Source organism: Homo sapiens, chromosome 6, assembly GCF_000001405.40.
Source record: "Homo sapiens chromosome 6, GRCh38.p14 Primary Assembly".
In the NCBI taxonomy this organism is placed as follows: Eukaryota; Metazoa; Chordata; class Mammalia; order Primates; family Hominidae; genus Homo; species Homo sapiens.
Genome location: NC_000006.12, coordinates 19,087,149 through 19,108,405, shown reverse-complemented (window position 1 = coordinate 19,108,405; position 21,257 = coordinate 19,087,149). Strand labels below are relative to the sequence as shown.

The following is a 21,257-nucleotide window of genomic DNA, read 5'->3' as shown; positions in this document are numbered from 1 at the left end:
TATCTACACACACACACACATATACCCGTGCTAAATGTTCATGGACACATGAATGAAGAAAACCATATGTTCTTTACTAATTTGTCCATGGACATTTAGCTTTGTGGTGTGTGTATATGTATATATACCTATGTATACATATACATATATGTACATATATACATATACATACACATATATGCACTTCGGTATATATCTGGTGAGTGTATATATGTGTATATATGTACATCTATACACACATGGACACATATGTATATGAGTGTATGTGTATATGTACAAATATGTGCACACATATATCCACACAAAGTATATCCATATATACACATATGTACCTATATGCACATACCAGATATACATATATATATAATGGAATACTACTCAGCCTTTAAAAAAGAATGAAGTTCTGTCATTTAAAACAATATGGAGAAACCCAGAAGACAATAGTCTAAGTGAAATAAGCCAGCTGCAGAAAAACCAATACTGTATGATCTTACTTTAATGTGGAATCTAAAAAAGTTGAAATCACAGAAGTAGAAAGCAGAATGATGGTTACCATAGGCTGTGGATGGGGTGGGGTGGGAGGGAGGAAATGAGGAATTGCTGATCTAAGGGTACAGAGTTTCAGACAGAACAATTTTTGAGATCTATTGTATAGCAGTGACTATAGCACATAATAATCGATTGTACATTTCAAAATAACTAAGACAGTAAATTTCAAATGTCTCACCATAAAAATGATGAGTAAGCAAGGTGAAGAATATGTTAACTAGCTTGATTTAAGCATTCCACATTGTATACATCTATCAAGAAATTAATTACATTTTACCCCACAAAGTATACAATGATTTCTCAATGAAACTCATATTAATAATAATAACAGAAAGTAGAATATTAAAGTATCCTACTATTATTTTATTATTGTCTATTTCTCCTTTCAGATCTGTTATATATTTTCATGCTTTATGTTTGATGCATATATACTTACAATGGGTAACCTCCTGAGGAATTGATCACTTTATTATAAAATGACCTTTGTCCATTTTTACAGTTTTTGACTTAAATGTCTATTTTGTCTGATGTGAGTATGCCTGTCCCTGCTCTCTTTTGATTTCCATTTGCATGGAATATCTTCTTCCATCTTTTCAATTTTGGTCTTCGTGTGTTCTTACTAGTAAAGTGAGTCATTTGCAGGCAGCTTATGGTTGGATTTTCTTTTTACATCCATTCATTCACTCTGTGTCTTTTAATTGGAGAACTTAATCTATTTAAATTTAAGAAAACTATGGATAGGTAAGAACTTACTATTGCCATTTTGATAATTGTTTTCTGGTTGTTTTGTAAATTGTTTGTTTCTTTTTTCCTCTCTTGTTGTTTTCCTTTCATGATTTTCTACAGTGGTATACTTGAAATTTTTCTCCTTATTTTTTGTGTATCTAATGTATGTTTTTGCCTTCTGGTTGCTAGGAGGGTTACTAAAATATCTTACAGTTTATATGATTATAACAGGTTATTTTAATTGGTAACAACTTAACTTTGAATTTGACTGTATGCTTATCTTTACCAGTGAATTTTATACTTTTATATGTTTTCATGTTAATTTTTCATTGGAGCTTGAAGAATTCCCTTTATTATTTCTTGTAAGGCAGGCCGAATGGTGATAATTTCCCTTAGCTTTTGTTTCTCCAGGAAAGTCTCTATCTTTCCTTCATGTTTGGAGGACAACTTTGCCAGGTAAAGTATTGTATTCTTGGTTGACACTTTCTTTCTTTCAGTACTTTAAATGTATCATCCTCTTCTCCCTGGCATGTAAGGTTTCTGTTGAGAAATATACTGATAGTCTTACGGAGGTTCCCTTGTGCATCATAAGCCTCTATTCTCTTGCTGTTTTCATAATTTCATCTTTTACTTTGAGTTTGATTATAACATATATTGGTAAAGTCTTCTTTGGATTGAAACTGCTCATTATAGGAATGCAAGTCAAAACCACAATGAGATACCATCTCGTGAATTAGAATGGCAATGATTAAAAAGTCAGGAAACAACAGATGCTGGAGAAGATGTGTAGAAATAGAAATGCTTTTACACTGTTGGTGGGAGTGTAAATTAATTCAACCATTTTGGAAGACAGTGTGGCAATTCCTCAAGAATCTAGAACCAGAAATGCCATTTAACCCAGCAGTCCTATTACTGGGTATATACCCAAAGGATTATAAATCATTCTACTATAAAGACACATGCACACGTATGTTTATTGTGGCACTATTCACAATAGCAAAGACTTGGAAACAACCCAAATGCCCATCAGTGATAGACTGGATAAAGAAAATGTGGCACATATACACCATGGAATACTATGCAGCCATAAAAATGGATGAGTTCGTGTCCATTGCAGGGACATGGATGAAGCTGGAAACTATCATTCTCAGCAAACTAACACAGGAACAGAAAACTAAACACATGTTCTCACTCATAAGTGGGAGTTGAACAATGAGAACACATGGACTCAGAGAGGGGAGCATCACACACTGGAGCCTGTCGGGGGAGGGGAGGGCTAGGTGAGGGATAGCATTAGTAGAAATACCTAATGTAGATGACGGGTTGATGGGTGCAGGAAACCATCATGGCATGTGTATACCTATGTAACAAACCTGCACGTTCTGCACATGTATCCCAGAACTTAAAGTATAATTTAAAAAATAATTAATTAATTAAAAAAAGAAATATTACTGAATCTGTAAATTGTTTTGGACAGTATGGACACATTAATGATATTGAGTCTTCCTATCCATGAGCTTGGGATGTTTTTCCATTTGTTTGTGTCTTGATTTTTTTGAGCAGTGTTTTGTAATTCTCATTGTAGAGATCTTTCATCTCCCTGGTTGGCTGTATTCCTAGAGTTTTTTGTGTGTGTATGTGTGTGGAAATTGTGAATGGAATTGCCTTCCTGATTTGGATCTCAACTCGGCTGTTGTTTGTGTGTAGGAGTGTTAGTGAGTTTTGTACATTGATTTTGGATACTGAAACTTTCCTGCAGTTGTTTATCAGCTTAAGGAGCTTTTTGTCCTAGACTATGGGGTTTTCTAGATATAGAATCATGTCATCTGCAAAGAGGGATAGTTTGACTTCCTCTCTTCCTATTTGGATGCCTCTTATTTCCTTCTCTTTCCTGATTGTTCTGGCTAGGACTTCCAATACTATGTTAAAGAGGAGTGGTGAGAGAGGGTAATCTTGTCTTATGCCAGATTTCAAGGGGACTGCTTCCAGCTTTTGCGCATTCAGTATAATGTTGGCTGTGGGTTTGCCATAGACGGCTCTTATTATTTTGAGGTATGTTCCTTCAATACCTAATTTACTGAGAGTTTTTAACAAGAAGGGATGTTAAATTTTATCAAAAGCCTTTTTAACATCTATTGAGATAATCATGTAGTTTTTGTCTTTAGTTCTGTTTATGTGATGAATCACATTTGTTGAATTGTTGATTTTAAAAATCAATAAATGTGCATCCCAGGGATGAAGCCTATCTGTTTATGGTGGAATAGCTCTTTGATGTACTGCTGGATTTGGCTGTGTATCCATCTGCTCCTCGGCCTTTTTTATGTGTCAACTATTTATTACTGATTTAATTTTGGAGCTCATTATTGGTCTGTTTGGGAATCAATTTCTTCCTGGTTCAGTCTTGAGAGGGTGTATATGTCCAAGAATTTATCAATCTCACCTAGGTTTTCTAGTTTGTGTAAATAAATTTTCTACCCCTTTATCTTTTTCTGTTGTTCCCTTTGGACTCTCATATAATGTGTATATCAGTTTGCTTTAGGATGTCCCATAAATCCCAAAGTATTTTTTTCACTAATTTTTATTCTTTTTGTTTTTCTGACTGGATAATTTGAAATGGATGATCTGTCTTCAAGTTTGCTTATTCTTTCTACTACTTCATTGTGCTGTTTCAATCTCTTTAATTTTTCAGTAGAGTTATTTTATTCTTCTGCTCTAGAATTTCTGCCCTTTTATGATTTATATCTCTCTTGAATTTCTACTTTTGTTAATACATAATTTTCCTGATTTTATTAATTGTGCTTTTTTTGTTGTCTTTTAGCTCACTGAGTTTTTAAAAGACAATTATTTTGACCTCTTTGTCAGGCAATTCATATCCACATTTTTTTGGAGTCAGCTGTTCAGCTATTTTGTTACTCTGATGGTGTCATGTTTCTTTGATTTTTTTATGTTCCTAGAAGCTTTGTGTTACTGTCTTCCTTTCATGTTTCTTGAAGACTTTCATTGCTGCAGTTGAAGGAGCAATCACATCCTCCACTCTAGCTAACTAGCTTATAAAACAAACAAACAAAAAACAAAACAAAACAAAACTTTTATCAGTCAGCCTGGCTAGAGATTCTGGAGGAGGGGGGTCTCTCAGGCCTTTTTCTTCTTCTTCTTTTTTTTTTTTTTTTTGAGACAGAATCTCACTCTGTTGTCCAGGCTGGAGTGCAGTGGCACGATCTTGGCTCACTGAAAGCTCCACCTCCTGGGTTCAAGCAATTCTTCTGCCTCAGCCTCCCTAGTAGCTGGGACTATAGGCGCGTGCCACCACCCCCTTAGCTTAGCTAATTTTTGTATTTTTAGTAGAGATGGGGTTTCATCATGTTGACTAGGATGGTCTCAATCTCTTGACCTCATATTTCCACCCACCTCGACCTCCCAAAGTGCTGGGATTACAGGCATGAGCCACTATGCCCGGACTCTCAGACCTTTATATGAATGTGCCTTTCCCATTTCTCTTGTTCTTTCTCAGTGGTGGTGGTGGTGGGGAGGTGTCTTAGAATTATGTGCTTTCTCTCAGTCCCACAAAGCAGGCTGGACTCTGAGAGCCTTTTGTTTATTTTCCTTAGGGCAGTGACCTGAAGGTTCTTGGCTGTGCACTTTCTCCTGATCCATCAGAGCTGTCTGCTAATTTATGTGTCCTATGTGTGAAAGCTCACATGCAATCTGTGGTGGTTCATGTGTGCTCTCCATGGAGGGAGCACATACATGTTGATGTCTATGGTGTGCTCAGGATGCCAGCCACATCAAGTGGTGCATGCAGAGTGCTGAGGATATATGTCAGCTTGTTGGATGTTCACAGTTGAGACACCCCATGAGACTCGCGTTTGGAGATCCAGGCAGAGTCTTCAACCCAGCCAGTAGGATCTGCAGCTTGTTGAGATTTGTGTGCCAGCTGCCACTAAGCCTCTCCTCTTGTCCCTGCTCCTAGCTGCCCCTAGATGTTTTTGCTATGCTTATTCCCTGTGTTTTGGGTGGGGTGAAACACAAGTGAGCCTCCTGGATGGCATCCCAGAAGGCTGGGGAAGCCAGGCACTCATTTGATCTCCCTTTTTCCCACTAGGAGAAATCACAGGCTGAGTGAATCTCTTTGCATTGAGCTATGCTGCGCTTGGGGAGGGATAATATGGGTAAAGTGAAGCTATTCTTACTCCCCTTAGTGTATTTATTCTTCAGTTTTTTTTTGTTTGTTTTGTTTTTGCTTCATGGAGGTGCTGGAACATTTTAACTAAATGACTGGGCTACCATAAAAGCATTGCTATCATGTGTAGTTGTTAAAATCAGTGTTTCTGGGTGGGGGTTGGGGGTGGAGGGAGAGTTGAAGGCTGAAACTTCCCCTTCTATCATCTTGACATCCCAAATAGGACCTTCACTGCAAGAAATTGGTTTCTGTCTTTCTTTTTATAATTTGTATTGTTTATCTTTTAAACATTAATTCAACAATCATCTCTCTGTTCTCTGTGTCTTAAGTGGCCTTCCCAAGTTACTTTTATCATGCCATATAGTTTATTTACTTTGCAGCATATGTGACAATGAAAATTATTTTTTGTTTTCATTGCTGTTTATTTCTTCATTATTTATTTCTGCCATTGTAATAAGGTCTTGGAAATTTTATCTATGTTGTTATTTTTGTAGCCCCCAGAACAATACGTGGCCCAGAGTAGGTGCTCTCTGAATAATTATTGAATAAATAAAATTTTCAAAGGATTCTAAAGTTTTCTTCAAAGCTCCAAAAAGTTCTAATTAGTCTATTATTTTGCTGAAATAAAATCTAATTTCTCAAATATTAGCATTTGTAATAAAAATGATGTATTCTTCAGCTTTATGTTTTGATTATATATGTAGTATAGCCAATTACATTTTATTGCAAGTCTAAAGCAGTTCTGTTATATCCCAGATCAAATAGGCTTTATGAGCCTTCCAGGGAGCTTAAACTGTATTTATTACATTGTTTCTGCATGAAAATGTGATTTTGTGATTGAAGTAACAATAATTTTTACTTTCCAACAAACTTTTACTTTGTTTACTTTTTGTTAAAAAAGTAATTTTTTACATTGATAACAGTTGACCTTTGAGTTCTGAGCAAGCATTAAACCTTTGGGTTGTAAACCACGTTTGCATTAAAAGCACACTAATACTCATGCAGCAACTATACTAAGTCTTTTTTTCAGAAGTGAGTAGGAATGTAAATGTCAAATTGGTAACTGTAGAACTATATATGAAACAAAGAAGGTATATGATATATAACTTCTGCCTTTGTTAGGTATTTGTTTCTGCTGTGGTCACTGGATTTGAGTGCAGTACCCCACAGTATTGGATAGTCATTAAGACAGTCCTTACATGGGTCTCTATAAAAACACCATTGAATAAGAAAATACTTATTGGTGCATATTTACCTATTGTTTAGAAAAAAGTTGGAATGGGTTGCATCCCACTCACTTTCTTAAAACTCATCTGAGAGATAATGTAGAAAAGGTATTACCTTCTACACCAAAATGTTTTGTTTGTATTATGTATTCATATTTTTCTTTGATATTTATTTAACTTCTTTTTGTGAGATTAATAGAGGCCATATTCTTTACTATTTAGCCAAACTATTTTTTACTTCCTTAAGTAATTATTTCATTTAAGAGGTTTAATTTTTTAAAAAATGAATAAGACTTTAACATATTTTTCTGGCCAGGAGTTAATATATAATTTACTGAAACACGAGTAATATCCAAATTTCTGTATTAATAGTCAGGAGCTCAAAGTGTTATTCCAATAGAAAATTATACATATTTGGTAGCTGTTATGGAAGAATTTAAAATACTTCTATGTCCATATATCAGCAAAACTATACATGTTTCTCTTAAATGAATTTTATTTTCCTGAAGTTTAGAAAAATAACTTCATCCTTAAAAATGTTGGAAAAGAAAGAAAATGAGTTAAAAATGTGTTGTGATATTTGAATGTTGCAAACTAAGATCTCTGTGTGTGTTTGTATATTCCTCATATTCTTGAAATACAGTTTTTGTCTTCTAAGGCTAACATTAGGCATGAAAAACTTCCCATAACAGGCTGCGTTGGTCAATGTGTCCCTGGAAGAAGGTATTTTGTATCTCAGAGGTAGCATAAGCACCATTAGATGTGGCGTTGCCATGGTAACTGCTCTCTTTTTTTAAATTGAATGGCATGGTAAGTAGTCTTATAAAACCCGCCAACCCATAACTTGCTGGTGCCCCAAGGCAGCTTTAACTTACTTAAGCGCCTTCTCTTTGTCTTTATATTTTTAATCTAAGGGATTCAGGTGTTTGACTATACCAGTTTTATGAGTCTAATATGCTTTGGAACTTAAATCCTTGGTTTGTTGACCACAGATTATTTCTAAACAGGAGCTCAATGCAGTTATCATATCAAGGAAAGAATACAAAATTTCCAGTGCAAAAAGATGAAAAGCAAACTTGTACATAAGGCCATGTCTATAAAACACAAACTGAGTAAGATGCCAATATTTGATCATCTGATTTCACCAGAACCTAACTACACATGGCAAAGCGCAAATAAATCATTATAGAAATGAGATCCACAAAAATACTGTGCTAAAATATGTCTTGGGCAACAAGTACAAATAGCTTAGTTTAAATATAAATTCTCCTGGGATGCAAGAGTCCTTTTTATTTTTTTGTTTGGACTCAAGACACACCTCTTCAAATATTTATACCCTGCTGCAGAGATGTTGCATGGAGTCAAATAAAATCTATTGTAAATTCCTCTTCCTCTACTTTGTTTCCTAGAGACACTAATTCTTTTGACTATTTTGCTAGTCATTTATGTTTAAACTGTTAATAAATCTATTTAAATTAAAAATTGAATATATAAGAATTGATAGTGCTCTGTAGGAAAATAGGGCTCTTATAATGTGTCCTATTTGTGGAAAAGAGGGCATTGTAATATTGATGAAAAGATTATTCCAACCATATTAATTTAGTATCAATAAATATTATCTTCCTACTGAGTAGCACTGTCATTTTCCAAAAGACTGTGTGGGTAAGTACAATTAGAAATAACTGTAAGTTTATAATGGGTACTAATGCTTAAGCATACCAAAGAAACCCAAGTTGAGAGTTTAGAATTTACGTTGCCCAGCTTCCTGAAAACATGTTTTTATATATTCTTTCAGTGCTTATAATTTTCTTTTTAAGAGAGGGTCTCACTCTGTCACCCAGGCCAGAGTGCAATGGTGCAGTCATAGCTCACTGCAGCCTCAAACTCCCAGGCTCAGGTGATATGCCCACCTCAACCTCCCAAGTAGCTGGGACCATAGGTGTGTGACACTACGGTTGGCTAATTTTTGTTATTTTTTTGTAGAGACAGGATCTCCCTATATTGTCTAGGCTGGTATAGAACTGGGCTCAAGTGATCCACCTACCTCGACCTCAGAAAGTGGCTTTTAAATTTTGAGGCAACTCAAATATGGATGATGATTGTTTTCTCAAATTTGCTAGCATCTTTTTATAAGGTGAATAATTTAATTTACATATAGACAATTAATAAAGACCATAGTAAAGTGGGTAATTATGGCAGCTTACTTTGCAGGAAATTCCTCTACCTAAGTCAGAAAAAGCCCACAGGAAATAAAGGTAGTGGGACAAGGAGTTAAGTATGACAATAAAATGTATCCACAGTATTTTTTTGGAAGAATCACAACTCATTGAAATCAGAGTAAAGAGAACTCCAGGGGAGAGATGTTGGGAGACACTCCTCCTTGGGTATCTTTTGTTCCTGTTTTCTTGCTGAATATGCAAAGAATTCAAGTCTCTAACGACTCTTACCTGGTCATTTTTCAGTGTTGTGTTTGTAGCAAGCAACCTTGAGGGATAAGATAATGTGTTCCTCTGGAACAAAGAGCAGGCTTGCTTACTGCTTGCTATAAAAACAGCAGGTTTCCAATCTAAGTGTTCCTTGGCTGTAAGACAAAGCCACTGCATCAACCTGGACTCTATGTTTCACCCCTATGGGACATGGGGATCAAGGGGGAACTGATGCAAAGACGCTGGTGCTTGTGTTGCTTGCTTTGCCATGATTAATAAAGTCCTTTGTCTCTGATTCAGGAGTCTTGTGTCTTCTACTAGCATTCCTGAAGCAGCAACAGGCTTACTTATTAACTTATAAGTAGGGTAAAATCCCTGACCAGATAGGAGAAAGCTGCATTAGCTTACTCCATCATCCTTTTGGGGATGGAATTAATGGACCACCAAAACTGCAACCTGATTCTTGCCAGAAAAGAGAGCTATGATTTAATTAATCTAAATCTGAAGCCATTACCTTGGTAGATGTTCCATGAACAAGTGAAACGTTTTTTAGAAGCACATTCAAAAGTTGTGTGAGTGGGAGAGGGATAATTTACTCAGAGGTATGTATTATTAGTCCCTTAAATAAGATGAGGGCTTTTTGTTCCCTTCCCAGTAGCAGAAAACTTTTAAACTAACATTATTCTGAACATTTGGAATAAAATTTTGCACCTTTGACCACTTATGTATTTACATGGTATAAAGTAATTTTGAATCCATTATAAGCAGAATCTTGGCATGATCTACAGATTTCTAGCAAAAGTGGCATTTGGGTCCTAACACTGACCTAATAACTGAGTTGTTAGGCAACTCAATTATCAAGTTAAAATGTCAAATCTATCCCTTCACAGATACCTGCTTGGGCATAACTATTTGTATTCAACTGGTAACAGACTAACTTCACTTTTGATCCTATCGGAGTAGACAGTCTGGAATGTGGTGATACTCTGTAGCTATCAAATCTGCAGGTGAGAGAAATAATATTTATGAAGATAATCTGAAGAACATGCAGTCCATCTATTTCTCTAAACAGTTATTTCTCAACCTTTTGCTTTTCAAATTGCTCACTTATGGAGCATTTTTAGACATTTTTCTCCTTATCACCTTCCTGCTCCTAGAGAAACTTGAATATCAGAGATAAGTGGTATATATATTTATGTACTGTGGCTTTTTAGAAGTCTACAAGCTATTTTAATATCTAAGATTTTCTGGCCTCCTAAGAACAAATAATCATCTGCTTTTGGATGGTATTGCCCATGTTGAGAATTCATGCTCCAAGCGCTCTGAAATCTATCCCTGGACTGATGGAATATTTCTCTGCCTACACTCCAGAGTAGGCAGACTCCCAGCAATTTCTTTTTTGCTTAACTGTCCTGTACTTTGGATTAATATGTATATTTAGTGATGCTATAAGAAATAGCACCAATAAACTACTGTAAGGCTACTGATAAATTGCTAATTGGAGGCAACATAGCATAGTGATTACAAGTTCTACCTGACTACTTGAATTTAATCTTGACATTACCACTTACTAGCTATGTAACCTTGGACCTATTATATATCATCTCTCTAAGTCTCAATTTGCTCATATGTAAAATGAGAATAATAATAGTACTCACACCATAGGATGATAAGAATTAAGGATAAAACAAACATAAACTGCCTGACCCAGAATAAATGTTCAGCAATATTAGCTCTTAGATATACATACAGTAATGCAGGGTGCTCTCCACAAATATTCTAAACGGAATGTTTTTTAGCCAGGAGTAGTGGCTTGTATCTGTAATCTCAACATTTTGGGAGGCTGAGGTGGAAGGATCACTTGATGCCAGAAGTTTGAGACCAGCCTGAACAACATAGTGAGACCCTGTCTCTCCAAAAAAAATAAAAAATAAAAAATAAAAGCTTAGAACTTAGCCTGGTGTGGTGCGGTGTATATACTGCCTGTAGTCCCAGCTACTCAAGAGGCTGAGTTGGGTGGATTGCTTGAGCCCAGGAGATTGAGGCTACAAGGCTACAGTGAGCCATGATCACACCACTGAACTCCAGCCTGGATAATAGAGCAAGCCCTATTTCAAAAACAAAAACAAAAACAAAAAAACCTAAAATCAAAAATAATGTTTTCACTTGTCATACTGAGTATGTTTACAGTGTCATACATAGTTGAGTAATAGATTTTATGTTAGGAACACTAGAAATAGACATTGAGGCTAGTGATTTATCAGTTTTCTTTCTTTGTACCATCTGAAAGTTTTAAGTCCAATTTGTCTCCTTCCGTTAGCAAGTATATAGTAATTCGTAGCATATATCATAGCATATATATATTTACTTCTGATATCTAATTATGTCCTTACTCTCATTTCCCTTTCTTGTTTACCAGATGTACAGGCCTGGATTTGAGTCCTTTATTCATTACTCATTAACTGGTTAGGTTAATCTTAGTGGGGTCCTTTTTTGTTTTTGTTTTTTTTGAGACAGAGTCTCGCTCTGTCGCCCAGGCTGGAGTGCAGTGGCACGATCTCGGCTCACTGCAAGCTCCGCCTCCCGGGTTCACGCCATTCTCCTGCCTCAGCCTCCCAAGTAGCTGGGACTACAGGCGCCCACCACCATGCCTGGCTGATTTTGTTTGTTTGTTTTTGTATTTTTAGTAGAGACGGGGTTTCACCGCGTTAGGCAGGATGGTCTCGATCTCCTGACCTCGTGATCCGCCCACCTCGGCCTCCCAATGTGCTGGGATTACAGGCGTGAGCCACTGTGCCCAGCCTCTTAGTTGTGTTCTTAAGCCTCTTTAACATCCCACTTATATAAAATAGGGTCAATAGTAGGACCTAATTAATAGGATTGTTTTGAGAAAAGTACACAGTACCTAAAAAGTAATAAGAATTCAATATATGCTAGTTACTTTTACTATTTATGTTATTTTGTCATATTTAAAAAATCTGTAAACCACTGTAAATATTTTTTTCTGTAAAAAAAAAAGAATAAATAAAAATATACTTAGAATGTTGCCATGACAGCAGTGTCTTTTCTACCAGGGTTTGGGTCTTCAGGTATTTCCTCATACTATTACTTAAGCCTTCTTGACTAGGAAAGGAAAATGAAGTTCACCCAGCACCGCTCTGGTCATCTCTGTAGACTCATCTTCAAGTCCCTAGTTGGGACACTGGCTTATGGTCTGTGGATGAATGAGAATGAGAATGAGAATTTTGCAAGTATGATGACTGCTTTAGTAGGTCAAGCCCTGGAACTAAATTTAGATCTTTAGACACTTTCCTTGAAGGTCAATGAAGCTTTGCTCATGATGCTAAGCAAAGTAACTTGTACATCCTCATGCCTGTCTCACATCTGCTAATAAAAATAGTTGTCTTTTTTAGTAGCTGACATCTAGGGCTTGTACTAATATATTTAACAATCCTCAGCCTAGATGACAGTCCTAGCTTCTTTACTTCACTTCTGTGGCCTTGAGCAGGTTATTTTATCTCCTAGGTTTGTCTTCCATAAAATGGAGATAATATTCAGACGTGCTATTGAGAAAGAAGTGAACTTATATATAAATATGTAAAGCTTGTGCCATGCCTATTGTAGATACTTTGTCAATGTAAATTTGATTCGTTTGCCTTTTCTTGGTAGGGGATCAGGGTTTTCAGGTTGATTGTCAGGTTAAGAATAGAAAAAGTAAAGCATTTCTTACTTTAAGTCCCTTATAGTGCTCATTTAGCCTGGTAAAAATAGACCTCAACACAAAGCACAAGGGCAGAATCCTCTCAACACAATAAAGAATTTCTTGCTTTTCTTTTTCAGAGGAGTTTGGCTGCACATGGATGAAATTAATGGGGGTAGATATGAATGGAGGAAGGGGAAGGGGATGTTTTTTTTTTCTCCTCCTTTAGTGTTGGTGTCACGGGGAATGCAATTTCTGAGACCCTGCGTGGTAGTCATAATTCTAAAATGATTCTCAAGGACCCATTCTTGTACAATTCCCTCCCTTTAACTGTAAGAGGAACCCTTGGATATGAAAGGACATCACTTCTGTTAAGTTACACAGCAAAAAAGATCTTGCAGATGTAATTTGGGATGCTAATGAGTTGACTCTAAGTTAATCAAAAGGGAGATGATTTGGATGGGCCCAACCTAATCACAGGAGCCCCTTAAATCTGGGTCTAGAGGTCAAAGACAAAGTTAAAGACTTGAAACATGACAGGATTTGACTTGGCACAACAACTGGAATAGAAAGGGGGCCATATGGTAAGGGTGGCCTCTAGGAGCTGAGAGCAGCCCCCCACTGACAGCTAGCAAAGTAACCAGGACCTCAGTTTTATAACTGCAAGAAACTGAATTCTGCCAAAAACGATAATGAATTTAGAAGTCAGTTTTTCCCCAGAGTCTCCAGCCAAGAACTCAGTCTGGTTGACACCATCATTTCAGACTTATGAGACCCTGAGCAGAGAAACCAGCCTTGCCACGTCCAGACTTCTTACCTATGGAAACTGTGAGATAATAAATTTGTACTGTATTAACTTGATAGGTTTGTGGTAATTTATTGCACAGAAAATAGAAAACTAATGTGCCCTGGTGCACTATATATTTACTCCTGATAATAGTTTTTCTATTAAATAAATAAATATGGCAAAAACTTAAATAGTAAAAGTAACTAGCATTTATTGAATTCTTATTACTTGTTAGGTACTGTGTACTTTCCTCAAAACAATCCTATTAATTAGGTCCTACTATTGACCCTATTTTATATAAGTGGGATGTTAAGGAGGCTTAAGAACTCAACTAAGATTAACCAGTTAATGAGTAATGAATGAAGGACTCAAATCCAGGTCTGTACATCCATGCTAAATAAGAAAGGGAAATGAGAGTAAGGACATAATTAGATATCAGGAGGAAATATATATGCTATGAGTGAATAGTTTTTATTATATTTATTGTATTTCTTTTAATAGTTTTTCTATTAAAAGAACCGTGATATAGTACGTTTTGCTTGTGCTTTAAGTCTTACCCTCAATTGCTTAGCTTATAATAGCTTACAGAGAAGCCCAAGGAAGCACCTGGGAAGAGCCTGAAACTCCATTCCACCTGTTTCAGCAGTAGCTTCATCGCTGTTAGACATTATCCTCTTGAGCTACCAGCCCTTCAGATTTAGCAACTTTATCCTACATACAGCTTGGGAATGAGGTCGTGGTAGCTCCTCATTGGCGTGGCCCTAATTCATGATTCAAACATATCAGGGTTTTCTGCAGTAGTCAGTTCAAAAGTGTGATTCTGTATGATTCATAACATGCTCATTTATTTCTTTTGGGTCTTTTAATGTTCTTATTCCTTCATTATTATTATTTGAATCCTCCTAGATTCCAAAGTCCTGGGATGAAGGACTTTTTTCTTCCTTTTGATCTTCTACAATACTTATTATTGTTTGCAAACTAGATAGTCAAATATTGATTAAAAGAACCATGATATAATAAGTTTTGCTTGTGCGTTAAGTCCTACTCTCAATTAGTAAGCATTTTCTGATCTAGCATTCACCTGAAAGATAGAAAGGAGATGGAATCTTATTAATAATAAACCACCAGAACGGAGCCAAATGACACAACAGGAGTGGAAGCTCTTCTTTCTGGCAGAGAAGAGGAAGTCCATATGCTCAGAACTGCCAAGGAGTGAGAGCAGAAATGGGCTAGGGTAGTTATCAAGGAATTAATTCACATACTGTCTATGAAACAACTGAGCCACTAATGTCTTGGCACCCCAGACCCACTTCCCCGTGTGAATCACAGCCATTTTAATCCTGTGATACAAGCAGAGAGCTGCTATTAAGGAAATGCAACAGTCTGCCAGAGGAGAACTAGAAATATAGGTGCTGATACATGAAAAAGTACAGCAGAGTCTAATGTAAACCTTCCAACAGACAAGATATTTTAAACGAAATACAGATCTGACCAAGAGGGGAAAATGATATGTTCCCAGAGTAATGGATGACATCTACATGCCAGAGTAAGTCCATCCATATTGGCTGGACCCTAAACAAACTGACTGGGCCCTTTTGATACATACTAAAGTCAGTCATGCTACAATGCACACTTTACCCATGTAGACAAAGCTTGCAGTCATCCCACTATTTCAAGGGAGAATAATAGAAAAACAGACCACAAGTTGCAGAGGCAAACCACATCAGTTACCTGCTAATATAAGTTCAACTGATATTAGGTTCTAAACTGGAAGCCAGCCATGGTGGTTCACATCTGTAATCCCAGCACTTTGGGAGGCCAAGGCGGGAGGATCACTTGAGTGCACATGAGTTCAAGACCAGCCTGGGCAACATAGCAAGACCCTGTCTATAAAAGTTTTGGGTTTTTGTTGTTGTTTTTAAATTAGCCAGGTATGGTGGTACACACTTGTAGTCCTAGCTACTTGGGAAGCTGAGATGGGACGATCACTTGAGCCCGGGAGTTTGAGGCTGCAGGGAGCTGTGATCAGTCCACTGTACTCCAGCCTGGGTGACACTCCAGCTTGTCTCTAAAAAATAAATAAAATAAAGAACCCTTCTAAACCATGTACTGTGTGATATTCATTGTAAGTGAATACCAAAAGATGGGAGCTATTTGTGAATGTTGGAACTAAGAAGGCCTAACAGATGCAGATGGAGTCATAGTATGAGCTCAAGTACAAAGATGGAAACAGCATGGCACATTGGAGACAGACTCATCCACCATATCCAAATTACTTAGTGGTTCATGAACAACTGTGAGTGGATAATCAAGAATCACCAGATACATGTGTAGAAGCAGCAACAAGGGGCCTTATAAAAAGAAACTTGATTCTGTAAAGAAATAGGTAATCAGGAAGAAAAGAAAACTTAAACATGATCATTTCAGTATTCTCAGAGAGATTTGAGAAGCCATTATATCCAGAATTGAATAAGATAAAAGAACCAGAACCGGTTCTTAGAAATGCATAAGATTGTCAAAATAAAACATTGAATAGGATAATTGAATAATAACTTGGACACAAATTGTTAAAGTTGGTGATATGAACTATTCATAAATATCTCTCCCTACCCTTATATATAAGAATGTAAAGAAAAAGACAAAGAAATTTTTAAAATGGGTGAAAATATTGAGCTGTGAATAATATTTATTAAAATAAAGTGTTCAGAAAAAAGGTAAAACATATTTGAAGATGTAACAGGAAAATTTCTTTGGGCAGAGTAAAGATTCACATCTTCAGATTTGAAAGGAGCTGTAAAGTATCTGTTTATTTCTTTATTCAACAATTATTTGAGCTCAGTATTATTTAGAATTTTGTGGTTATGAAAGTATCAAAAAGGGCTAGGTGCAGTGGCTCCTGCCTGTAATCCCAGCCCTTTGGGAGGCCGAGGCAGGCAGATCACGAGGTCAAGAGATCGAGACCATTCAGGTCAACATGGTGAAACCCCGTCTCTACTAAAAATTCAAAAATTAGCTAGCGTGGTGGCGGGCACCTGTAGTCCCAGCTACTTGGGAGGCTGAAGTAGGAGAATCACTTGAACCCTGGAGGCGGAGGTTGCAGTGAGCTGAGATTGTACCACTGCACTCCAGCCTGGTGACAGAACAAGTCTCCAAAAAAACAAAACAACAACAAAAAAAAAAAAAAAAAAAAGAAAAAGAAAAAAAGAAAAGAAAAAGAAAAGGAATTGTGTGAAAAATACGTGGTAGGCAGTGTTTTAAAATGCCTCCCAGGAATCCCACCCACTGTGTACATGCCCTATGGCATCTCTTCTTCTTAAATATAGAGAGGGTCCCCAATTCCCATACTAGGTTACGTTACATGGCAAAGATAAGGGATGTTTTCAGATAGAATTAATGTCCCCAATCAGTTTGACTTTGAGTTAATTGAAAGGGAGATTCTTCTAGGTGTGCCTGACCTCATCAAGCAAGCCCTTTAAAAAGCCTTCTTGGGCTCAGAGACGGGAAGAAGAGATTCTCTTTCTATGGCTGGCTTTGAAAAAGCAAGCTTCCATAAATTCTACAGCTTCAAGGAAGTGAATTCTGCCAAAAACGTGAGAAAGTGCGGAAGTCGATGCTTCCCTAGCCGTTTGAGAATGCAGCTTAGTAAACACCTTGATTTTAACCTTGCGAGACTCTGTGCTATGGATTCAGCTGGCCTTTCCTGGACTTCTGACCTTCACAAACTGTGATATAATAAATGAGTATTATTTTAAACAGTTAAATTTGTGGTAATTTGTTAAGCTGTAATAGAAATTTAATGTATCTACATAAATTATGGTGAAACTTCAGAACACTGTGTGTAAAAAAAAATTTCTTACAGCTTTCAAAGAAAATTTTTAAAGTTATAAAAATCAAAATAACTTTAAACTTTTCATTAACAACACCATATTCTAGAAAACAATGTAACAACTCCCTCCATGTTCTGAGAGAAAATGATTTGGAGCCAAACAATTAATAAAGTCAGAGTGAAATAAAGACATTTTCTGACATGTAGACTGTGAAAGTTCACTGTCCATATGGCATGATTTTGAGAAAGTGATAGAATATTTTTTTAAAGAATGAATTTGGCTTTCACTCTTGAAATAATCTCCTTACAGGGGTACATATGAATATGTGCCAGATATCTCACTTGGATCTGGATGACATATTTGCAATATCTTAGTATTTTAAATGCTGTTTATTGTTTTTTACATTTTTTACTGAGGTAGAATATATGTGGTCAAATGAGTGTCAAGTTCACTAATCTTTATGAGGTTTGATCAAGTTTTAAAGATGTACACACCTAAGTAATAACTACCAAGATGAAAATATATAACATTTCCAGCACCCAAAAGTAGTCTTTATGCGCCTTTCCTGTCACATCCTTCCATTCTCAAAATGGTAATCACCATTCACACTTCCTTCTCCATTCATTAGTTTTGCCAGTTCTTAAACTTCATCTAAATGTAATCCAATGGTGTGTATTATTTTGTGTCTAACTTCTGCCATTGTGAGAGTCATCCTTGTCATTGTGTTTACCAGTAGTTCATTTTCTTTTCATTGCTGTGTAATATTTCTTTACATGATATAATTTAGCCATTTTTGTTGTTGGACATTGGACTTGGTTTTGGTTCTTGGTTGTAATAAATGAATCTGTTATGGACATCCTTCCACAATATTTTGGTGGATGTGTGCACTCATTTGTGTCTGGGCAAATACCTAGGAATGGGATTGCTAGGACATAGGGTAGTAGATGTTTTTATTGTTTTTAACATTTACACTCAATTTGCAGAGGAAATATTGAAGGCTCATATATAGTTATAAGCTAATAAAAATAAGAAAATTATTGGCAATTTGAAAGCAATGTTAAGACTGAGAAGTAAGATCTATAGGGAAAGAAGTAAGACTCCAGCTTATTTCTTTACATCCACTAAGCTGTAACCAGGGTGAACTTTCAGAAGCCTTATTCTGATCATGATTTGATCAGAATTAAGTGACTTTCCCTTGATCTTAGGATAAAGGCAAAACTCCTTTATAAACCCTGCAAAGCTTCAAATGGCCAGTCGATATTTATCTTTTCTTTCTTATATCTCTGCAGTTCTTAACTTTCTCCATTTGAGTCCCACTGACACTCACCATTACTTCTCTGCCACAGGGTCTTTGCACAAGCTGTTCCTCTGCTTAGAAAGCCTTTGTTACAATTTTCCACATAGATAAATCCTACTCATTGGTCAGATTTCTTATCAAGGGTGGTCTCTTCCGAGAAACTATCCCTGACCTCCTTAATATAAATTCTCATAACTTATCTCATAATGATTTTATTTTGGGCCACACTTATTATAATTTATTTTGTTTTGTTATTATTGATCACCCTTTTCATTAAGTGGTGATTTTCACTATGGCAGGGTTTATGTCTGTTTTTACTCATTTTATTGCTAGAACCTAGTGCAGCATTTTGTCAATGTGGACACTCAATATTATTCAGCAGAAGAAAGAATCTTTTATGATTTTCAATGTTGAAATCTCAAATTGAAGGAGTAGTATCATTTAAAATTATGAAGGCAATCACTTGAAAAACTGAAAATACTGTAAATCAGAATGAAAACAGAAGAAGACTCTAGTAAGGGAACTAAATTCCTCCTTTGTAGAATGGAGTGTGCATAAGCTATCTAAAGCCCAGTACTTATAGTGACAAACACTAGAACTAAAATTAGAAATATTTAAATGTAATTGTCTCTGGGAAATGAGACTGAGGCTGAGGAATGGAGATTGGGAAGGTGAATTTCTAAGTTTTACCCTTATTTTTAATTTATTTTATTACATTTATTATAACATATATCAGAAAGATGAAACTCAAGGTCACAATACATGCCCAGTTTTAGAAAACTTTGGAAGACTGGAAGACCTAATTTGTATATCTGCTCCTGTGCCACAGACTGGGTATAAGGTATGGCACATGTAAATAGGTATTTGAGATTGCTGACAAAATTACTAGATATATGATAAGCTCAAGGCTTTTGGGATAAAGTTATGCCAATGGGAGCCACAAACTCATTTGAAGACTATCAATGGTAACAACATATTTTGGGAATTGACTTGTAAAAGGTTGAAGTTCACTGGAATTAGTTCAAGCAGTCAGGGATTAGTACAAAATTTTAACACCCTGGGTGGTCACAGCACAGGTGGTAGCAATACCAAACCAAATTAATCACATACAATGACAGAGTATCATAGAGGGGAACAAAATGTTAATCACTATATAGGTTTCAGATATAAGATCTCAAGAACTGAACTGGAGCAAATATTTCTAACCCAATTGGTGAATTCAAGCTAAGGATTAGTACTATCAGGAGAAAAATTAGTAGTAGGATGTGGGGACATGGGGTCAGGATGATCCGAATTAATTCCGGTACACTGTAACATACTGCTTCAGTGACTCCCTTTAGAAACCAGGACCTTGCCTTCTGGGCTGTATCACTGAACATCTCCAGTATGTAGTCTGTCCTCCAAGTTCCAACACAAAGCTAATTCCTTTTTTGAAGCTTTTCTGTTTCCCACAGCCAGAAACAGTTCCTCTCTCCCTTATCTCCCGAAGCATTTTTTCCAACTTTCTTACTGCATTTAGCACTTTATACTATGTATTCTGGTTCTGTATGTGCATCCCTTACTTCTTCCATTAATCTGAGAGGTCATAAAAATTACATAATTTGCATTTACCACAGGGCTTGGCCATGGACTTGCATATCATTGCTGAGAGAAGTCTCAACAGCAGCTTAAGTACTATTGAAGACCTCAAGATGACAAATTTTCTCCATCACTTCTAAGGCTGAATTGTCATATCCAATGTGCTTTATGACTATGCTTTGGTGAGTGTCACAGAATTTAGAATTTGTACTATATATATGCACTAAATATATACTATTATTTCCATTATATTATTTAAGGGAGTGGAGAAGGTTTTTGTCAGTGTTAACAAGCACTGGGCATCTTCCTATATCAAATATACGTGTTAGAATAGCAGAGGTTGGTTTTCATTAATAAGAACTGAGAAGATATTTGAATATTTGTTTTTAATAATTATAATGATTTGTGCAAGCTGCATAGCTTAAGCTAATTTCTAAGATTACATCGCTTAAATTCTTATAGAAGTTATAATATTCTCCTACAAAGACAAACTAACACTCTACATATTCATTGTCTATAAACCTAAAATAGTAATGAAATGTCTTAGGAAATAGAGACAAAATTCATGCTACATTCAAAGCAAAACATTTTCTGTGATTTTAAGCATGTGCAAAGAGATTCTTAGCAGCCTGTACATTGAAGTTGTGATTTCTAAGTTATGTTCCAAGGAATTCCTTTTCTTATTTTCTCCCAGGGCTATCTTTGTTTTTTGTATTATTATGGATTAGATTTGTTTGGAACATAAAAAAACAGAATTGATCTTCCCTCCTTGAATAATGCAGAAGATAATATATGTAGGAAACTTCTTCCAAATCATGTCTGAGTATATACCTTTGAATTTTACTTGAAAACATGTCATTCCATTCAAAACTCTGAATTAAGATGCACTATTTTTTGCTGAAGGCTATTTTAAATTAGGCTAATAAATTGCTACTCTCTGCCTTGCATGATAATGCATTAC

General features: G+C 36.1%; 2 long non-coding RNA genes across 2 annotated transcripts in view; one reads left to right on the top strand and one right to left on the bottom strand.

Moving 5' to 3' along the window:
* LOC101928519 (uncharacterized) overlaps positions 1 to 21,257 on the top strand; it is a 111,938-nt gene that overhangs the window by 72,075 nt on the left and 18,606 nt on the right. Inside the window, exons 7-9 of the long non-coding RNA NR_110860.1 lie at positions 8,665 to 8,815; positions 9,998 to 10,114; positions 20,335 to 20,478. This is a non-coding gene — a long non-coding RNA (uncharacterized LOC101928519). The remainder of the gene's footprint in view (positions 1 to 8,664; positions 8,816 to 9,997; positions 10,115 to 20,334; positions 20,479 to 21,257) is intronic.
* The window catches only part of LOC105374958 (uncharacterized), a 119,161-nt gene continuing 110,036 nt past the window's right edge, over positions 12,133 to 21,257 (bottom strand). Inside the window, exon 5 of the long non-coding RNA XR_001744010.1 lies at positions 12,133 to 12,321. This is a non-coding gene — a long non-coding RNA (uncharacterized LOC105374958). The remainder of the gene's footprint in view (positions 12,322 to 21,257) is intronic.